At 43.6% G+C, this 20204-nt stretch overlaps 1 protein-coding gene across 1 annotated transcript in view, besides 1 other annotated feature; it reads left to right on the forward strand.

The window, feature by feature from the left end:
• Positions 1–20204, forward strand: part of EPHB1 (EPH receptor B1) — a 465208-nt gene that overhangs the window by 418597 nt on the left and 26407 nt on the right. The gene's annotated exons all lie outside the window — the stretch shown is intronic.
• Positions 12363–12562: an enhancer, noted in NCBI's record as "active region_20577". NCBI's record gives its function as "activates an Ori minimal core promoter by ATAC-STARR-seq in GM12878 lymphoblastoid cells {active_cell/tissue: GM12878}" and the evidence as "EXISTENCE:reporter gene assay evidence [ECO:0000049][PMID:35858748]".

Here is a 20204-nt window from a genome sequence, read left to right on the forward strand (position 1 = left end):
CCAGGCTGTCTCTCCAAGAAGCCTCCAGCTTTGCTCGAGCCTTCTGCACAGCCGTGCTCTCTGCAGGCCTCCCTGTATTATCATGAATTGCATTAAGTCTTCAAGGCGCCTCTGATCTCCCTCAGCCCCTTCCCCTTTGACTCCTCTTGCAGCTCCTTCCTCTTGTCTCAAACTCCCGGTTCCTCTCACACTCTGTGTTTCTGCCACTTCTGAGACTCCCTTTCTTCCAAGCCCGCCAGTTCCTCCTCCTCCTTACTTTCTCTCTTCTCATGTCAGCTGATGTTCTCTGCCCTGCTGCTGTTTCCTTCTGGGAACTGCAAACAGAACCATTCCTTGGCCATCTGCCCCCTCCTCTCAGGCCATTTGCCCCCTGTGCTCTTGTCCTTCCTGGATCATTGTCCCTTTGTCAGCTCTTCCTCACATGCTGCCCTGGTGGTTGCTGCCCCTCTTTCCCACATTAACTGCTTAGATCCACTTGGGGACAGCTCAGCTCTTCCATTTCCTCTAGAATCTGCTCCATCTGCATCAGACTCATTTCTGGTACTGCTCTAGGGCACCAGGCATGAAGGGTCCAGCCTCCCCTCATGGGACAAGGGACAGCCTTTCTACAAGGGTAATCTCTGTAAGCACCTGGTGCCATGGCCCATCCTGAACCTGCTGGAGGAAGCCAGGCCTGTCACTCATGTGCGCTCCAGAGGTCTTTGTTCTGTGACGAATTTCAGTCATCCCAGGTCATGGTGTAGGCAGCACCCTCATCTCACCACCACCAACCCCACACACACCCATTATCCATTATTCCCATGAATTATTGTCTCAGCTGCAGCCTCCATCCTCGCTGTGCTTCCAGGAGAGAGCATGCATTTCAGCCACAATCGCTTCCATGCTGAAATCTGTAGGGCCCTTCCTTTCACAAAATTCGGCCTTCATTCATGATATTGTACTGCCCAATTGATCCCTGTGTTCAGCAATGTCGCCTGAGAAAGGGGCAAAAAGACCATTTCTAGAACTTTCTTTCCCAGCATGGTGTGGTGAAATAGTTCTTTGGCATGGTACGAGGAATGCAGGGTTTGGATCACACTATGCTTTATGAACTTGGGCCTAGTTCTCTTCATCCATAAAATGGGGTTTGTATGATTTTGTTAGATTTGTAAAAACCCATCTGATAAACTGGTGAACATGCTAGGACAAGTTCCGTCCTGGTCACAGCTTATATGAGTGTTGTGGATGCTACCATAAGTGCTTCCCCATCTCTCAGAATCCCTATCCCATGGCAAGAGATGGCAGATGTACAGTTTTCTTTTTTTCTTTTTTCTTTTTTTTTTTTAAGACAGAGTTTTGCTCTTGTTGCCCAGGCTGGAGTGCAATGGTGCAATCTCGGCTCACCGCAACCTCCACCTCCTGGGTTCAAGTGATTCTCCTGCCTCAGCCTCCCGAGTAGCTGGGATTACAGGCATGCGCCTCCATACCCAGCTAATTTTGTATTTTTAGTAGAGACAGGGTTTCTCCATGTTGGTCAGGCTGGTCTCAAACTCCCGACCTCAGGTAATCCGCCTGCCTTAGCCTCCCAAGCTGCTGGGATTACAGGCATGAGCCACCACGCCCGGCCCAGATGTACATTTTAAAGCTAACTAGCGAAAAGGATCCTATAACTTTCTCACTTTCCAGTCACTCTATAACAGAAAACAATAAGGCAGACAGCCACCAGAAATCCAGAAAAGCTGATATTCGCGAAGGAAAATTGAGGACCTCGTGGCAGGATCACCATGGGAAAATTCTGAGGAAACCCTGTCAAGAGAGAACAGGGGAAAAGAAACTAAAATGACTGTGTCCATTGAAACCTGTGGTTCTCATGCTTCCCTGGGGACCAGAGTTTCCTGGAGGGCTTGTAAAGACACAGACTGCTAGGCCCCACCCAAGAGTTTCTGATTCATGGATCTGAGGTGGAGCCTTGGAATCTGCATGTCACGTGAGTTCCCAGATGATGCCGATCCTGCTAGTCCTGGAGGCCACTTGAAAAACCTCTTCATTGAAACCGTTTCAGGGAGCATGAATTTTATTTCACAAACTTGCATTGTAAGAAATGTCAATTACCGTATTTCTCAAAAATCCAAGTAAATCTGACACCAAATCCCCATCCTGTCAGGCTGGAAAAGAAAGTATATTTTCAGTCATCTTAGAACTTCTCCTTCTCCAAGCCCAGGGAAGCATGAAGGCCCCAGACCACACTTGGGCTCCAGCATCTTTTCACGGGGTGGCAACACCTGTGCTGTGACTCAACTTCCCAGATGCCCACCCAGCCATCACGTTGTCTGAGACCGAGGAGACAGCGAGGGCACAGGGCCAGTAGGTGCCGCCAGCACAAAGCTCCACACCAGCATCTACCTCTAGGTCCTGGGACCCTCATTCTGATGCTGCTACATCTGCCCCCATAACAACCCATTTCCCAGAGTCTGAACCCCTCCCCTCATCCATCAACTCTTTTGTGGAAAAGAAAAAGCAAAAACCTATCAAATCAGCCCTGGAGATCCTGAGGATTGGTATGAAGGAGTTGGAGACAGGTGGATAAAAATTACCCTCAGTCTTGAGCCGGGCACGGTGGCTCATGCCTGTAATACCAGCACTTTGGGAGGCCAAAGTGGGCAGATCTCTTGAGGTCAGGAGTTTGAGACCAGCCTGGCCAACATGATGAAACCTCATCTCTACTAAAAATAAAAAAATTAGCCAAGTGTACTGGCACTCGCCTGTAATCCCAGCTACTTGAGAGGCTGAGACATGAGAATTGCTTGAACCCAGGAGATAGAGGTTGCAGTGAGCCGAGATCATGCCACTGCACTCCAACCTGGGCCACAGAGTGACACTCTGTCTCAGGGAAAAAAAAAAAAAAAAAAAAAATCACCCTCAGTCCTGAGATTTTTCTACACCACTGAAACAAAAATATGCAAATTAACACCTCAATCATTTCCATTGTTATGCATCTATCAGTGAACCAGATGCCCTGTTAACTGGGGTGAATCTCAACAAAGAGGACTTTCTTGCATCACTTTGGTTGCAAAGCCCCATCTTTTCTAAGTAAATCACTGTTCAAGGAAAGAAGGCAGTTCGGTGTGCCTGATGGGGGTCACCTGTGTCTGGAATTAAAAGGTCTTTTCTCGGCAGGGAACTTGCTAGGGTGTCTTTCAAAGAGGGGATCCATAAGAGAAAAGGTCAAGAGGATGCCAAAACCTTAGCCTTAGGGGCCATTCCCTTCCTCCTGCCAGGCCCTAGACCTGACCTGCACAGGAGATGTGGGTGCCACAAACAGCCCGAGACCTTCTTGGCTTTGACACAGCCAAGATGAGTAGCAGACCTGCCACCACTGTCCCTGGTAGCAGCAGGGCACTGAGGGCAGTGCTGAGGATAGGCATCACCGTGTCCACACTGCCCAGACATTGCCGCTCCACCAGGGACCAGCAGTGCTATGCAGAGTCCTCATGGGTAGAAAATGGTTAGGGTTAGGGGAACTCTGTGATGAGGACAAAAAGACTGTGAACTTCCCCTAAAGCCTGCAATGAATAACTCCCATCAGTACCACACACACACACACACACACACACACACACACACACACACACGCACACGGGGAGAGAGAGAGAGAGAGATGTGTGTAGTGTAGTTATGCACATGTTGTTACGCAAAGCATAGTTAGAGATACACAGTGAAATTCAGAGCGATGTACACACAGAACTATACGCAATCACCCAGGGCTACCCAGAAACATACAAGTACAGGCACAAACATTCCGAGTAGGCACCAGGTAATAGCTGGACTTTTTTCTCTCATTACCCCTGAGCAGTGAGTTTGACTGCAACAGTACTCTGTTTCAGATTTTTTTAATAATGCACTTAGTACATTATAAAATGTGCAAAGAAAGCAGAAAATTATCTCCAAGATAATCCTTTCTGCAAGATTTTCAGGAAAAAGCTGTCTGCACTTTGCTGCACCACTGTAAGAAGTTGCTTCTCAGTCGGGTCGATCCATCTGCCTGATAGATTTTGGCTAAGGCTATGACCTTCATCTGTCAGAACGGGCAAGGTTTACTGGCTTTCTGTCCAGTGACCCCAGGTCCAGCTTTACTTCTCCCCATAGCTCCTGGCAGTATTTACATTTAAATCATAGTTTTCTTCTCTTCTGATTCATGGCCTGCCTCATGAGGCAGTTTTCAAATTATGATTTCTTACTCATCTTTCAATCATTGAGCTTGGGTAGCAGGGCTGTCTCTTGGGTGGGTAGGAAAGTGGAGAGGGATGAAGACAAGCAAAGACAAGACAGAGAGACCCTTTAATTGAAGCCAGGATAAAACTGAGTCCTGGTCCCCTGGAAATTCTGCTCTAACATTAATTAAGCTGAGAGTAAAATAATTCAAATGCCACTCTATCCCCTTTTCCACCACTCAAATAATTCTTCTTCAGGCAGATTTGGCTCCTCCTTGCTCTGATATCTCTCCCTGGGTCACTTTGTTACCAATGCTCAGTTAGGGATATCAGGCCCTGACTGAAATTCCCTTTTGAAAAAGACTCAGCATAATTATTCTTAGTAAGGCCTGTATATTATTAGCATGGGTGGGATCAGTATGGAATTTCAGAGCCTGAGCCAGCATGTACCCAGGGACTGGAACAAGGAGTGGGTCAGGTTTCTCAGAAAACACATCTCTCCATTCTGGGCCCCACAGGGGTGTGATATGCAAAGCCCTCTTCCTCAATATGCCTGTCATCATGTGGGAGGGGCCAGCCACCTGGGTGCAGGCCCATGCAGTGCCTCTACTGGCTGTTCTCCTAGCCAATACATATTTTTAAAGCAGCTAATATGTGCATAACACTGCAGTTAACAAAACAGGTAGTTCCTGAGCTCCTCAAGTTTCCTTCCTAGCAAAAAAAGACAGACATTAAACAACTAATTATGCAAGTAATTATATAATTGCAATTGTTAGGTGCTATGGCGGAGAAGCATATATCAAGCGTGTATCACAAGACCCTGAAGAAGGAACACCTGTGTTGAAGCCCAAGGACGAAAAGGGGTTAATTAGGGGAAGAGCATGGCCAGTGCCTCCCTCATGGGAATGATCCCAGAGCTGGACACAGACTCTGCTTGCTCAGCAAGGACAGAGTGTGGAGGAGAGGAGGGAGTTGGAGGAGCCTGAGCTCAAGCACAGGTGGGGGAAGAGTTGCCCTCCCACAGAAAAGGCCCAAGAGATACTGAAAGAAACTGAGGTAGACGTAAGCCTCATCAGAACAGAGGAGGCTAGAAAGTACTTGATGTGCTTACTGGATAGTGAACAGGAGGCCTACTTGGCTAGTGTTTGGAAAAGAGTGTGAAAGGTGTGTTAGCTCTGGAAGGGCCCTGGGATCAGTTGAATTGTATCCCTCCCAAAAAGATACATTGGAGTCCTTACCTCTGGCACCTGTGAATGTGACCTTATTTGGAAATAGGCTTTTGCAGATGTAATCAAGTTAAGAATGATGTCATAATGCATTAGGATTAAGTCTAAGTCCAATCACTGGAGTCATTAAAGAAGGGGGATTAGACAAAGACACACAAGGAGAAGATGGCCATGTGATGGCAGAGGCAGAGGTTGGGTGATGCCAAGGAATGTCAAGGTTTGCTGGCAAACACCAGAAACTAGAAGGAGCAAGTCAGGATTCTCCCCTGGAGGTTTCAGAGAGAGAATAGCCCTGCGAAAGCCTTGATTTCAGACTTGCAGCATAAGATTTTAGAAAAATGTAAAAAACAAAAAATCTTTATAACTCTTGGTTGTTATGTTCACTGAGTTGGCAATGTAATTTTGCAGAAGCATTGCCTTCCAAGAGCTGTGACCACAAGATGTTAAATAACAGGGACTCCTCCGGTTTCTAAAGCCCTGATCAGCCTTGATACTGTAGGAGTCTGCAAATCTGTCCAGTTCTGTAAGAGTCCTGTGCATTGTTACAGAAATTGATAAGGAAGGCGGGGATCTTGTCCCATGCACCCAGACTAATAGGGCTCCAGAATGTTGTAGTGTTTGCCTTATGGGCCCTACACAGAGCAGAATTCCCTCACAAAGAAGGCCTCTGGATCTAGCACATCTGTGTAGGCAAAATGTTTATCCAGGTAAGGGTAACTAGGCCCTTCAATTCAGCTCTCCAAGAGTACACAGGCAAGAGTTTTTTTCTAAAGACCCTGGTAGCTCAAAACCAGCACTATCAAGGCTAATCACATTATACTTCCTATGGGAATGCTGAATTCAACAATCTGAAGGTAGTCAAGAAACTCATCCAGTATAGGCTACAGATGTCTAGGGAAAAGAGAGAGTGAGTCCAAGTCAAAGCAAGGGGGAAAGAGAGCAGCTGAGTGAGGAAGGGAAAGACCAGGGCATGGCCAATCAAAGGCTGCTCTGCGGATGCTCACCCCGCAGGCATTCTAGCTGCAGGGGGAATATGCAGGAATGATTTCAGAAATGAAGATTTTATTTTAATCCTCCCACAAAAGCATTCAAGTAAGCTCTTTCTCTGTGAGAAAGCTAGAGAGTAAGAAACAGGAAAGGAAGGTTCTCAGCGAAAAGATCCATGTCGACTTCTAATATTGCTCACTTAGAGAATACATGCCATCTGGGCGTTTGATAAAAAGAAAAAAGGGCGTAGAGAAAAGCTCAAAGCCATGGATTCTGCTTGTGAGTGCAAGGTGCTCGCCTTTCCTCATGGCCAGCTCTTTCCTTTGTTGGAGGCCTTTTTTTTTTTTTTTTTCCTGGTCAGCAATGACTTTTTCAAAGTGACCTGTCAAGTCTTCCTTTCTTTATTCCCTGTGGCCAAGGAGCCAAGCAGTGGGCAAAGAGGAGAGAAGAGGAGAGGACCCAGGTGACAAGGGCAAGGCTGGTATTTTATTCATTAATTGTCTGAGTGTTATCTATAAAATGCGAATTCACAGCCCACTTGTGCCTGAGGCTGACCCCAGCATACTCACAACTTGCTACTCCAAGCCAGAGAGGACAAGAATACCTGCCTTGTCTTCATAGATTTTCATACTGTCTCTTAGAGGTGCATGTTTTGGGCACAAAATCCAGGGCTTTCTGGCCCATGACTTAGTCAGGAGTGGTCATGGGTCTCTCACTTTAGCCCTGTCATTTTGAAAACCTTTTCCTTTGGAAAGGAATTTGGCCCGTTCCAGGGACTATTGAAGACAACAGAAAACCAAAGAGCTAAGCAATTAAGTTTATGTGCTTCTAAATTGACATCCCCAATAAAATGATATGAAATGGCTTTGTAGCTGGATATTCTACCCTGAGAAATTAGAAGGGCAAAAGTTTGGCCAAGAAGGGGATGGGGAGTGGGTGGAAAATATTTTAATATCACTTTAAGATAGCATGTGTTCTTCCCAATTTTCTTCCCATTGCATAGGCTATGGTTCTATTATCCAAAAATAATGATTATTTACCTTACTATTCTATACTAGTTCTCTGTACTAGAAAATTATTTTAGTAAGCAAATTAGGCACCATCACTTAAACCTCATTATTCATTTTTGTTGTTGTTTATTTGTTTTGACTTTTGGTATCCATTACCGTACTAGTAATCATTATCTTCAATAATAAACACAGTGAACTCATTCTTTCCTTGTTCTATTTTTCAATGTTTTTATCACATTTCCAATCATTTAGCATAATAAGTCCCAGGAGCTCTAATGACAGACAATCTAACGCACAGGACTTAACAGGAGATAATTCTGAATGGTGGCCCCCTCAGCAGTTGAGGCTGAATTTTGATCCAGAAAACATGATTTTAGTTCTGGTTCTACCAGTTGTTAACTTGGAGTCAGTTACTATACCTCTCTGAGGCTTCATTCCATTATCTGTCAAAGGGGATACTATATTACGCCTCATGTACATCACATGACTACTGTAACGATGGAAGGAGACATATTGTTTTGAAATTCTTTAAGTAAACCCCTAATGTCCTAAAAATGTAACAAAATAAAAAATATTACAAAAGCTGATGAATTAGAATCACTAGTAAATGGTTCTAGATCTTAGTAAAATACTTTTACTTGATTTAGGGGGGAAATTATTTCAAGAATACATGACATTCTAAATATAATTATTAATAGCAATAAGCAGAACTATTTCTTTTCAGCTAATAATGCAAGTGGTGGGATCCTAATATAAAATTTCACCAATGTGATGCAAAGAGCACAAGCTTGGATAGCCAAAAATTTAAGATCAAAATTTAAACCCTGGCTCTGCTCCTAACATATTATTGTAGTAACCTAAGTGAGGTATTTACTTCATGAGCCTCAGTTCTCTAATATGGGGATAAGAACTTACATTTTAGTAGAAGTATGAAGATTGGATCATAATAAATATGTACAGTGCCCAGCAGAACAGTTGATGCCTAGTGGATGCTTGAAAAAATGTCCATTTGCTCTCATCTTCTCTGAGATGCCTCATAAAATGGGAATGGGGATCCAGCGTGTTCTGTTCCATGCCTGTTTCTCCAATGCAAACGCAATATGTGATTGGTAAATGGGGGAGTGATGCCAGTATTGTGTGGAAGTCCCGCGGTTCTCATATGATCTTTTCTAGGATATTTATATTTTGAAGCAAATAGGGGCACGCTTTCTTCCAATTAAAGAGAAAGCCTTAGCACAATGAGAAGACCATAAGAAACAAGTTGAACACTGAAGAGGGCCTTTCTTTCATGCAAATAGTGGCCGGCTTCGTGGTTTCCAGAGCCACTGTGTTTTTCACTCTGTTTTCTGATAAAACAGGGAGTAAACATGAGGAAATGGAACACATTTTCCTTTGTGTTAAATTTTAATTTTATGACAAAACAGTCTACACATTGGATTGGATTTTTAATTTGGATGAAACTGATCTCTGTGAGATGTGAATGCCCTCCTGGACCTATGTCTCCAAGAGGAAGCACAAAAATCCAGAGTTTAAGCTTGCAAAGGATCAGTGAACCAATACACTGGGTACAAATGCAAATTATAATTTACCTGTGCTGCTATTTTTATGAAGATTGCTGTGTTTTTTGTTAGATGTTGAATGGTCTCCTCCAAATGCATTTTCTCCCCATAGGCTCTGTTATTTTATTGTGCAATTTCGCAGAGTATGAGGTTTTACTAAAATATGTATATGAAATTATAGCAGAAATGCCTGTATTAGGAAATTACAGTCCAGTCAATCACATTCAGAAATCATGTACTACACTTAGGCATAAGAAATAGTTGAAACATCAGTAAGCCTAATCATATGAGACCATTTGACATCAAAATTAAGACACATTAGAACATATACTTGAATCAAAGGAAAGGAAAAATGTAGGCTCACCCATTATATATGAGTCTGTCCACATGGGAGATGTGGCCAGTCCTCTTCTCTCCACATCCTAGAGTTTTATAGGAATGGGCCAGGGCACTGCTGGGTACTGGGGAAACCTTGCAGGGCTCCAGACCACCACCTTGCTTCAACCACAGCAGCTCCTCTCTTACCTATTTTAGATATTATGCTTTTACCAAGGTTTCCTTTCAAACAAGTTTTGCCAACATGAGTTCAGTATTTGAAAAGTATAGGCCATCAAACCTGATGATAATGGGTTGTTTAATGTGGTCAACATTCCTGTCCCCAATCATACTTTTTCTAAGCTTAGAAGAGAGTTTACAAACCATGTCCAATACTGGCTTTTAAAGAAGAGTGAGAGACACTTTATTGTATTTTAGAAGTTCCAAAGCTAGGAGATTGTCCATATTGCATTTTATTTATTATCCGTATTTGAAGCCATGATAGAGATGTCTTGGCGCACTCCTCATTGGCTTCTCTATAAAAACAACTTCAAAAAGAAATGTCATTGTTTGGTCAGATAACTCTTTTAGATACCTGATCAATTAACAAGAGGATTTTTAAAAACTTTATTTGAATAAAATTTCAAAAAATTGTTTGATGAATAAGTCTACACCATGGATCAAAATATTAACATTGTTAAAACCAATCCCTACTGAAATAAATGCCCTCTGGAACCTTCAGTCTAGGATCAAGTATTGCATTTAGTTGTCATGTCTCTTTAATCTCCTTTAATCTAAAATATAGTTATGTGCCATATAATGATGTTTTGGTCAGCGACAAATCACATATACAATGCTGCTCCCATATTATATTACTGTATTTTTACTATACCTTTTCTGTGTTTAGATATGTTCAGATACACAAATATTATTGTGTTACAATTGCCAACAGTATTCTTCATAGTACCATGCTATACAGGTTTGTAGCCTAGGTGTGTAGTGAGCTATCCCATTTAGGTTAGAGCACATACACTCTAAGATATTTGCACAACAACGAAATCATCTAACAACATGTTTCTCAGAATGTGTCTCCATTGTTAAGCAATGCATGACTGGATTTCCACTGATTTTCTTTGCCTTTTATGACATTGACTTGTTTAAGAATACAAGTCACCTTTTTTCATTAATAAGACATTCCTCATTTGGCATATTTTCTGATATTTCTCATAATTAGATTCAGATTCTACATTCTTGGCTATAATCCTACATAAATGTTGTGTCCTTCCTAGGCTATTATATTTTGAAACACCTGATGTCCATCTGTTCCTTATTGGTATTATTACTTTTGATCACCTGGTCAAGGTTTTGTCCAATTTCTCCAATGTATAGTTATGTACAGTATATATTACATATTTTTCTCTTGTGACTAATTAGCAATCTACAGGAAAATAATGTTAGGCCATGCAAATATCCTGCTCCTCATAAAAATTCACCTCACTGCCCCCCAATTTCAGCATCCATTGATGAGTCTTATCTGAACTAGTCTTTATTATCACAACGGGAAAATAATGTTTTTCAGCTCCAGCCACCATATACCAGTGAGCACTTGTCATTGAAAAGAAGATATTTTGGATGGTAGTTCCATAATCCAGTCAAATGTTCCTTTGTTCTGCTTAGAAACCCAACCTAATGACATTTTGAACATTACATTCTCTTTGATTTTTACCTGAGAAGCTTTGGAATGACCTTTGGCCAAGAACATTAAGATTCTCATGTGTTTCCAGGCCGCTGCTCCCTGTTCTAGTCTAAGGCCTTTCAGACCTAGCTTATTCCATCACTCTCTGCTCTGCCTGCACCTTTGATTTATATCTGTCTGGGATTTACTTGAGGGGAGGGGAGAGCACGTTGAGGGGGGAAGCAGACAAGCTCCTCTCTGCTCCACTGATTTGCTGGCTGTTTAATTTCTGTTTCTGTCTTCACACCTACTCTGCTGCAGAGCTAGGATGCCCTGCCCCCACCTCCACCTGTCCTCGTTTCACCCACCCTTTGCCACAGGCAGTAAAATACAGCCCTGAAGGGCCCAGAAAGATGCAAGGCGTAATCCAAAAGATGTATCTCCCAATCCTTGGGAGATACTAAAATATTCCTGTAGGATGCAGAACCTCCAGGGTCAACAAGGCCCGATGGGAAGGCTTTTGCTTGCCACTGACAGATGTCACAGAGCTTAGGCCCTTCCCTGGGCTTCTCCTGACTTGTGGTTAAGGATTCTCTTCTGAGCCATCTGAGTTCCTGTGATGCCATCAAAATGAGTAAGTTCTCTAACCTTGGGAGACCATGGCATTAGAGAAAATGGAAATTGTTTGCGAGGCTCGCAGTTCATTAGCCTCATATAAAATGAATTTGGAACCCTCTGAAAAGAGGAGTTTGGGGGCTTCAGCTGAAGGTACTGCTATGACTCTCAAGATTCCATAAAACTCTGGAACTGAAGCCCCACAGTTCTTGGCAGAGCTTTCAGACTGTGGCAAGTTTAGGAAGGCCACACCTCAGGTGAGTGGGGATGATGATAGTGGCCACCAAGAGCCACAGGGAAAGGGTCCAGTCCCAGGTTGGAGGAGGGGAAACTGAGGTGACTCTGCCTCCCACTCTGACAAGCCCAGCTGCCCTTGGGACAGCCATACTGTAAACCGTAGGCCCAAGCAGGACAGGCAGGGAAGCAAAGACCAGGGTTCTAGACCCACCAGGCTGGGTGAAAGTTAGGTCTGGGAATGTGGGAGCAACTCCAAGGGCTGGTTTTCTAAGGAATGGGAAAATGGAAAGTAAATCTTAAAGTAGATCAAACAATAAAGAGATTAGTCAGTGGGGAAAGAACAGGTAAGATGCAAGCAGCATTTGCTAAAGCCTAAATCTAGCTGGGGAACCCCAGCTTACCCCCAAGTGGGGTTTCTGTAGTGCAGGCCTAGGCAGGCCAACGGCATCAGTGGCCTCAAGAATGAGGATTGGGGACAGCTGTGGGCAGCTTGGCCCATGGTCCAGCCTACACTACGGCTTGCATGCTGCTCTTGCAACCTGTGCCCTGTCTCATGGCAGTTTCCTCCCACATCCTGCTCAGTAGCTCTTCAAAGCCTTTGCCACACTCCTTATGTCCCTGCCCTACCGCGGCACTCTTCTGTCCCAGCAGCTGGCCTGGCTTCCTCTTTTATCACAGTACCTCTGAGCTTTCATGTGCTGCTCAGTAACAGTTTGTGGAATGAATTAAGAAATTCACGAACGAGTGACAGACATGCCCCTGGAGATCTGAGATATCAAGGAGAATGGTCAGTGTAGAATGGGGCAGGAGCCCGAGTACTCAGGGAGCAGTATGGCTGCCCCCAGGCAGCTGGGTTCTTCACAGTAGGAAGAGACCTTTCAGTTTCTGCTCTTCCAACCCTGAATTCGACTCTTTCCCTGTGGCTCTGCACGGCTGTGATAACCAGCCCCATTCACCTACTTTTGGCCTTCAAAACCTTCTACTTTCTTCCCCTACACCTGGGGGAGGAATAATCCCAGAACATGCAGGAGAAGGGGCTTATTGGTCCAACTTGGAAGGTTGTTGGCCTATCTGAAGAAAGAAATCTCTAGAATGCCATATTTTTTAAATGTTATTATGGCTTTATTTAAAAACCGATCCATCATTTTCTTAACACAGTCATTAAGGAAAAAAAAAAAGAAATCATGTCCTTTGCAGCAACATAGACGGAGCTGGATGATATAGTCCTAAGTGAATTAATGCAGGAAAGGAAAACCAAATACCACCTGTTCTCACTTCTAAGTGGGAGCAAAACATTGAGCACACATGAACACAAAGATGAGAATAATAGACACTGCAGACTACTGAAGGGTGGGGGACCAGGGAGACATGGATTGAAAAATCCACTATTCAGTACCATGCTCACTATTTGGGTCCAATATACCCATGTAATAATCTTACACATGTACACCTAAAATAAAATCATCTAAAATAAAATCTGAAATTTAAAAACAAATGAAGTGCTTCAAAACATCAAAAAATAAAAATATGTTTAAAGTAAAAAGTGAGTCTTACACATGTACCCCTAAAATGAAACCATCTAAAATAAAATCTGCAATTTAAAAATAAACAAAATGCTTCATAACATTAAAAAATAAAAATGTGTTCAAAGTAAAAAGTGAAACTGACTCCCCCTTCCAAATTCCCAGAAATTACTATCATTCATAGTTTGGTGTGCTTTCTTCTCCTCTTTACTGTGTGTGTGTGTATGCATATGTGTATTTTTTGTGTATACATTTTACTCTCAAAAAAATGGTCTCATACCATACATAATGATCTACTCATAGGCTGCTTGCTTTGTTACTTAATGACTTATCCTGAATATTACCTTTCCCCTTCAGCGCCTCACTTCATGCCTTTGGAGACAAGCTCTTTTTAAATGGTCATCTAGGTGGCTTCTGATGCTATGTTATTTCAAACAACATTTCAGTGAAAATTCTTATATAGACATGTCTGTGCACTCGTATGTATATTTCTATAAAATAAATTTCAAGAAGATAAATTTCTAGATCAAAGAATTTGCACATTAATTTTAAAAAAATAATGTCAAACTTAAAGAAAGTTCCCAGAATAAGAATAATACAGACAACACTCATATAACATTTGCCCGGATTCTTTACCTACTGTTATCATTTGACCCCATTTCTTTATTATTTGCTCTCTTCCTTTCTCTCTTTCTCTCTCTGTAAAATATTTTTTCTGAACTCTTGGAAGATACGTTACATACATCATCGCTCTTTATTCTTAGACTCTTCGTGTGTATTTCCGTATTTCCTAAGAATAGGGAGGGATATTCTCTTACATAACTATAGTACAGTTATCAACTTTAGTAATTTAACATGGATAAAATACTTTTAACTAGTCTACTATCTATATTCTAATTTTGTCAATTGACCCAAAAAGTATCTTTTTTAGCCTTTTTTTCGCTCTAGTACAGGATCCAGTCTAGCTTCTGAGACTGCATTTAGTTATCATGTTCATTTAATATCTTTTAATCAGGAAAATTTTCACAATACTTTTTAAATTTTTAAAGGATACCTTTCAAATATTGTGTAATAGACTCTTCCTCATTTTGAGTTTGTCTGATGTCCCTTCATGCTTAGATTCGGGTTATTTATGTGTTGCCTAAGTGACAGTGTGCCCTTCTTAGGGTATTGCTTCTGGAGGCACGTGATGTTTGCCTGTCCTTTGTGTGATGTTAACTTGTATATTTTAAATTTTGGTAGCTGTTTATTCCCCCAAAGCCTTTTGCCAATTTATATTCTTGCATAGCTTACGAGATTTGCCCATTTTCACATCCTCTTCCTCACACAGAGAGTCATCAGTCTTAGTCCCAGTGTAAATGTGCTTATTCATGCTTTATTTAAAAAACAAAGCATCAATGTTTTTTCCCATTTTACTCTGAGGCACTTTAATATTCTTAATATTCTTATCTCTCAACCAACGTTTCTCAACCATCAAAGATGTAGTAAACTGACATGCTCTTTTATATCCCAGAGCTCACTGAGAGTCGGGCAGTCTGAGGGGTGACAGCGTGGGTGGGGTGGGACCCTTGGCTGACAGGGACTCCATGCTCTGGGAAAGTAAAACACAAGCCAATCCTTTTGTTTTTCCTTTGGGAGATTTTTATCTGCCCTCCATATGCAAGGACACACTTCTCCATGTATCTTCTTTCCTTCTTTCCTGTCATCCAATATGAGGAAAAGGCAGCATGGGATCTGGAATGGGAGGTTTCAAGAGCACCCCCCCACTTTTTACCAGGTGTGGACCCCTGGTCACCCTCCTCTCCTGTCCAGTTCCCAGTGCCTGTTAAAAGAGACTCAGAATACTTGGTTTCATCCCCAGTATAGAAGATACACAGGAAGGAGCTGCCCTCCCAATACAGCCTTTGAAGCAGACTCTGCCCCTCCTTGGCCATCCCTCACCACCACCAGAGGAGGGCAGACAGCCCAGAGAGCAGGGCTCATGCAGGGAGGCAGGTGGAGCAGCTCCGTCAGCACTGGCACACTCTGCCAGCATTAGCTAACAGCTCCTCATACGCCCCTCTGAGATAATTAAGTATTATTATCCCTATTGGCAGGTGGAGACGGTAAGACAGAGTGTTTAAGTGACTTAGTTGTAACTGCTGGGATTGTTTGCGGGAGAAACCATGCCAAGAAGGAAGTGCAGTTCAGGAGGCCAGAATTGCTTAAGCTATTTAATGTGACTGATTATTTTTAAATAGCTGTTGGAGGGCGGGGGCAGGAAGAGAGACTAGAAGCATGGCCAGTGGACACTGGTAAGGCATTCAAACATTGCAATGAAAAGAAGGAATATACCTAGTGTGTCTCTTAAAACGGGTTGCCATAGACAGTCTGTCAGCTGCTTACCCCACATGAAGAGGAGAAAAAATAATTGAAGGCCATGATAAGGACAATAGAAAACACCCCACAGCCTTCCCACAGAGTTGTACAGAGGTCTCCAAGTTGGCTAAGCAGGGGCCAGTCTCCATCTGAGAGCCCCAACCTTCTCCAGAGACAGAGCATCCACTGGAATCAGCAGCCCCACCAGTAGCCACTCGATGTCAGAAGGACTTGCCAGCTGTATTGCCTGCCGTAGCAAGTGCAGCTTCACCTCAGAGCAGCAGGAAGCCCATGTAGCCTCCATGCACAGGGCAGGGACAGAATGGGAGAAGAGTCTGGGTGACCAAGGGTTGTTGGGGAGACACATGCGAAAGGTGGAATGGCATCATGGCCTACTGATGGATGGAAACCCTGGAGACATGGGGAAAGGCCCAGGGGTCACTGGTGTGGCAAACAGACTGGCTGACAGAGAGGAAGCTGTGGTCTCTTAGGATGAGCCTGGGGCTGAGGGTGGGCAGCAGTGAGGCATGGGTGCAGAGAGGCTCTGGGAAAAAGTACAGTTCCTGCCATTGTCAGAGAAGCAATGGATGAAACACTGGACGTGGCCTGGAAACAGAAGGGGAGATAGTGGGGTGGCCTCTGAGCCTCCTCCTGAACCCTTCTTGCCCCCTGTTCCATGGTCCTCCATGCCAGCCTGTCACCCAGAGGGCCTAGAGGCTCATTGTCCCCTCCCCACCTGCCTTGGAGGAGGGCATTTTTGTTTCAGCAGCAGGGCAAGTCCAGCCCTGCTTACTACATTCCTGATGGGATGCTGGCTCTCTCTGTTCATTATCAGTACCCCACCATCTAGGAGAGCAAAGTGTCTAGAGAAGCTAAAGCCCTTTGGGGTGAGTCCAGTTGCTCTTTCTCCAGAGCACTCACTTCAGGAACACTGATAGCAGGACCCAGGCTTCAGGGACTAAACAAGGAGAGAACACACCTGCACCATTATTTTTTATTTTTATTAGCAAGATCTAAATTAGGGTAATTTAATTTAAATTTTTAAAATAATTTTGGCTTTTACTTTAGATACACGAGGTACATGTGTAGGATTGTTACATGGGTGTATTGGACCCAAGTAGTGAGCATAGAACCCAATAAGTAGTTTTTCAACCCATGCCTCCCTCCCTCCCTCTCACCTCTAGTAGTCTGCGGTGTCTGTTGTTCCCATATTTATGTCTATGTGTGCTCCATGTTTAGCTCCCATTTATAAGTGAGAATGTGTGATATTTGGTTTTCTGCTCCTGCACTAATTCATTTAGGATTCTGGCCTCCAGCTCCATTCATGTTACCACAAAGGACATCATTTCTTTCTTTTCTATGGCTGCATAGTATTCCATGGTGTACATGTACCACATTTTCTTTATTCGACCCACCATTGATGAGCACCTAATGTTGATTCCATGTCTTTGCTGTCATGAATAGCGAGGCGATGAACATAGGATCTGCACCACTAAAGACCTGACTACCCCTGCGGGATTCCCTGGACAGTGTCCTCCTCAGGGCAGAAGGGATGCTGTTTCTTTGCCCTTTATTGTCCCTGGCCTGGCTCAGAGAGGGGCCTGCTTGTCAAATGAATGAAGGCAGCTAGTTAATTATTTAGCCCTTGTCTCTCCATCCTTTCTTTTTAATTGTAAACTCAAGAAGCACTGGATAATAAAAAGAAATAATAATGCCTGTATCCTGGCCATCAGAGGCTGTTTTGGGTGTGGATAGTAAAAGAGAGCTGTTTGCCCAGTCAGTATAGTACAGAAAAATGACGTCTGTTTGGTTGAAGATTTTTTTTCCAGTTGGGAAATGTCACCAAGTGGCCTTTCTGTTCTTCACACATGAAATACACACTATCATCCACATATTTTTAGTTAATTTATGTCCAAATAAGCCTTTTTGTAGCTGCTGGAAAATTATATTTGGGCTGCAATTACCTTTCGCAGCATTGCACAGAAGGGTTTCAGCGCTCACAAAGCTCAGGGGAGAGGCAGCAAGGACCCCACCCGATTGTAAATCTTTCCATTTGTAGTTATTCAAATCACATATTTTATTACTAGTACGAAATACATTCTGCCATTCATTTTGGAGGAGCAGCTAATGCTTCAAGAAAAGCTTTGAAAAACATTCTATTTAGAAACAATTTTGTCAGCAGCTAATGCTATGTGTCTTTTTGGGTTGTCTTTTCTCCCAGCTCTCTTCTCTGTTATGTGTGCCATTTGCATGACAAACGAGACCATCCTCTCCAAAAGCTCACCTGTTCCTGCAGCCTGCTTCCCACCTCAAGTTTTCATTCTCTGTATGTTGCATCATAATCCTTAGCACGGTAATAAATTACAGTGTCACCATCAAGATTGTGGCTTCTGGAAAGAAATAAGCAGCAGGGCCAGATGAACTCTTTCAGAAGATGAGAGACTGTTTTCATGCAAATTCCTGGCATCCTGGGGAACTGGGAACAGCCTCTTTATTATATAGACTCAGTTGCAATTCAGCAGCCAGAAGCCATTTCCACTAGCTGTTAGAAGCTGGTGACACTCAGAGCAAGATAACCTTTTAGGCAAAAACTTCTTTTCCTTCTTAGTTGTTATGAGTCTTGTCTGGAAAAATATCACTTTACTCATTAGATTGAGGAAAATGGGTCAGTGTACTTTCAGAGAGCTTTTAAGTTGAGACATTTATTCTAAAATACCTTTCTAATTTGACACAGAAACACTTGCAGCTCACTTTAGAGCAGTGCAGTAGACAGTGACTGTGGAACAGGAGCAGGGGTGTGCCACATGGATGCCCCCTGAGGGCAGGCCCATCTGTGTGTGAACTTGTCTACAATGGATTGCACAGACCCTCACTCGCAAGCAGGTGCTATACCCAGGCTGGTCAACCACACAGTCAGGAGGGTCACTGCTCGAAGGCAGAGTGTCCAACCTGCCAACTCCAGGGTGACTCTTGACATACAATGTAAACTTTATCTCAATTTGCCCTCCATTTCCTTTGGGCCACAGATATACTTGACAGAAACATTAATGAGGCCAATTTGCTGCTTTTTTTCCTTTTTCATCATTTTAAGATCTTTTGAGGCTTAGTACAATGTTGAAAAATATTTGCTGTATTAGTCTGTTCTCATGCTGCTAATGAAGACATACTCAAGGCTGGGTAATTTATAAAGAAAGAGGTTTAATTGACTCACAGTTCAGCATGGCTGGGGAGGCTTCAGGAAACTTACAATCATGGTGGAAGGGGAAGCAAACATGTCTTTCTTCACATGGCGGCAGCAAGAAGTGCCAAGCAAAAGGGGGGAAAACTCCTTATAAAACAATCAGATCTTATGAGAACTCACTCACTAGTACAGTAGAACAGAAGGGTAACTGCCTCCATGATTAAATTACCTCCCACTGGGTCTCTATTACAACACACAGGGATCATGGGAACTACAATTCAAGGTGAGATTCGGGTGGGGAGATAGCCAAATCATACCATTCCACTTCTGACTCCTCCCAAATCTCATGTCCTCACATTTCAAAACATAGTCATGCCATTCCGGCAGTCCCCCAAAATCTTAACTCGTTCCAGCATTAACCCAAAAATCCAAGTCCAAAGTCTCATCTGTGACAAGGCAGGTCTCTTCCACCTATGAGCCTGTAAAATCAAAAGCAAATTAGTTACTTCCTAGTTACAATGGGGGTACAGGCATTGGGTAAATACACCCATTCCAAAGGGAAGAAATGGGCCAAACAAAGGGGCTACAGGCCCCATGCAAGTCCAAAATCCAATGGGCAGTTATTAAACCTTAAAGTTCCAAAATGATATCCTTTGATTCCATGTCTCACATCCAGGTCATGCTGATACAAGAGGTGGGCTCCCACAGCCTTGGGCAAGTCTGCCTCTGAAGCTTTGCAGGGTACAGCTCCCCTCCTGGCTACTTCCACAGGCTGGCCTTGAGTGTCTGCAGCTCTTCCAGGTGTACAGTGCAAGCTGTTGGCGGATCTACCATTCTAGGGTCTGGAGGATGATGGCCCTCTTCTCACAGCTCCACCAGGCAATGCCCCAATGGGGACTCTGTGTGGGGCTTCCAACCTAACGTTTCCCTTCCACACTGCCCTAGCAGAGGTTCTTCATGAGGGCTCTACCCCTGCAGCAAACTTCTGCCTGGACATGCAGGCATTTCCATACATCCTCTGAAATCTAGGCAGAGATCCCCAAACCTCAATTCTTGTCTTCCGCACACTCACAGGACCAACATCATGTGGAAGCTGCCAAGGCTTGGGACTTGCACCCTCTGAAGCAATGGCCTGAGCTGTACCTTGACCCCTTTTGGCCATAGCTGGAGCAGCTGAGATACAGTTCTGCAGTTCCAAGGCTCCACACAGTAGGGGGAACCTGGACCTGGCCCAGGAAACCATTTTTCCCTCCTAGGCCTCCAGGTCTGTGATGGGAGGGACTGTGGTGAAGGTCTCTGACATGCCCTGGAGACTCAGCTCCTTATTA

The sequence above is a fragment of the Homo sapiens genome, chromosome 3 (assembly GCF_000001405.40).
Source record: "Homo sapiens chromosome 3, GRCh38.p14 Primary Assembly".
Lineage (NCBI taxonomy): Eukaryota > Metazoa > Chordata > Mammalia > Primates > Hominidae > Homo > Homo sapiens.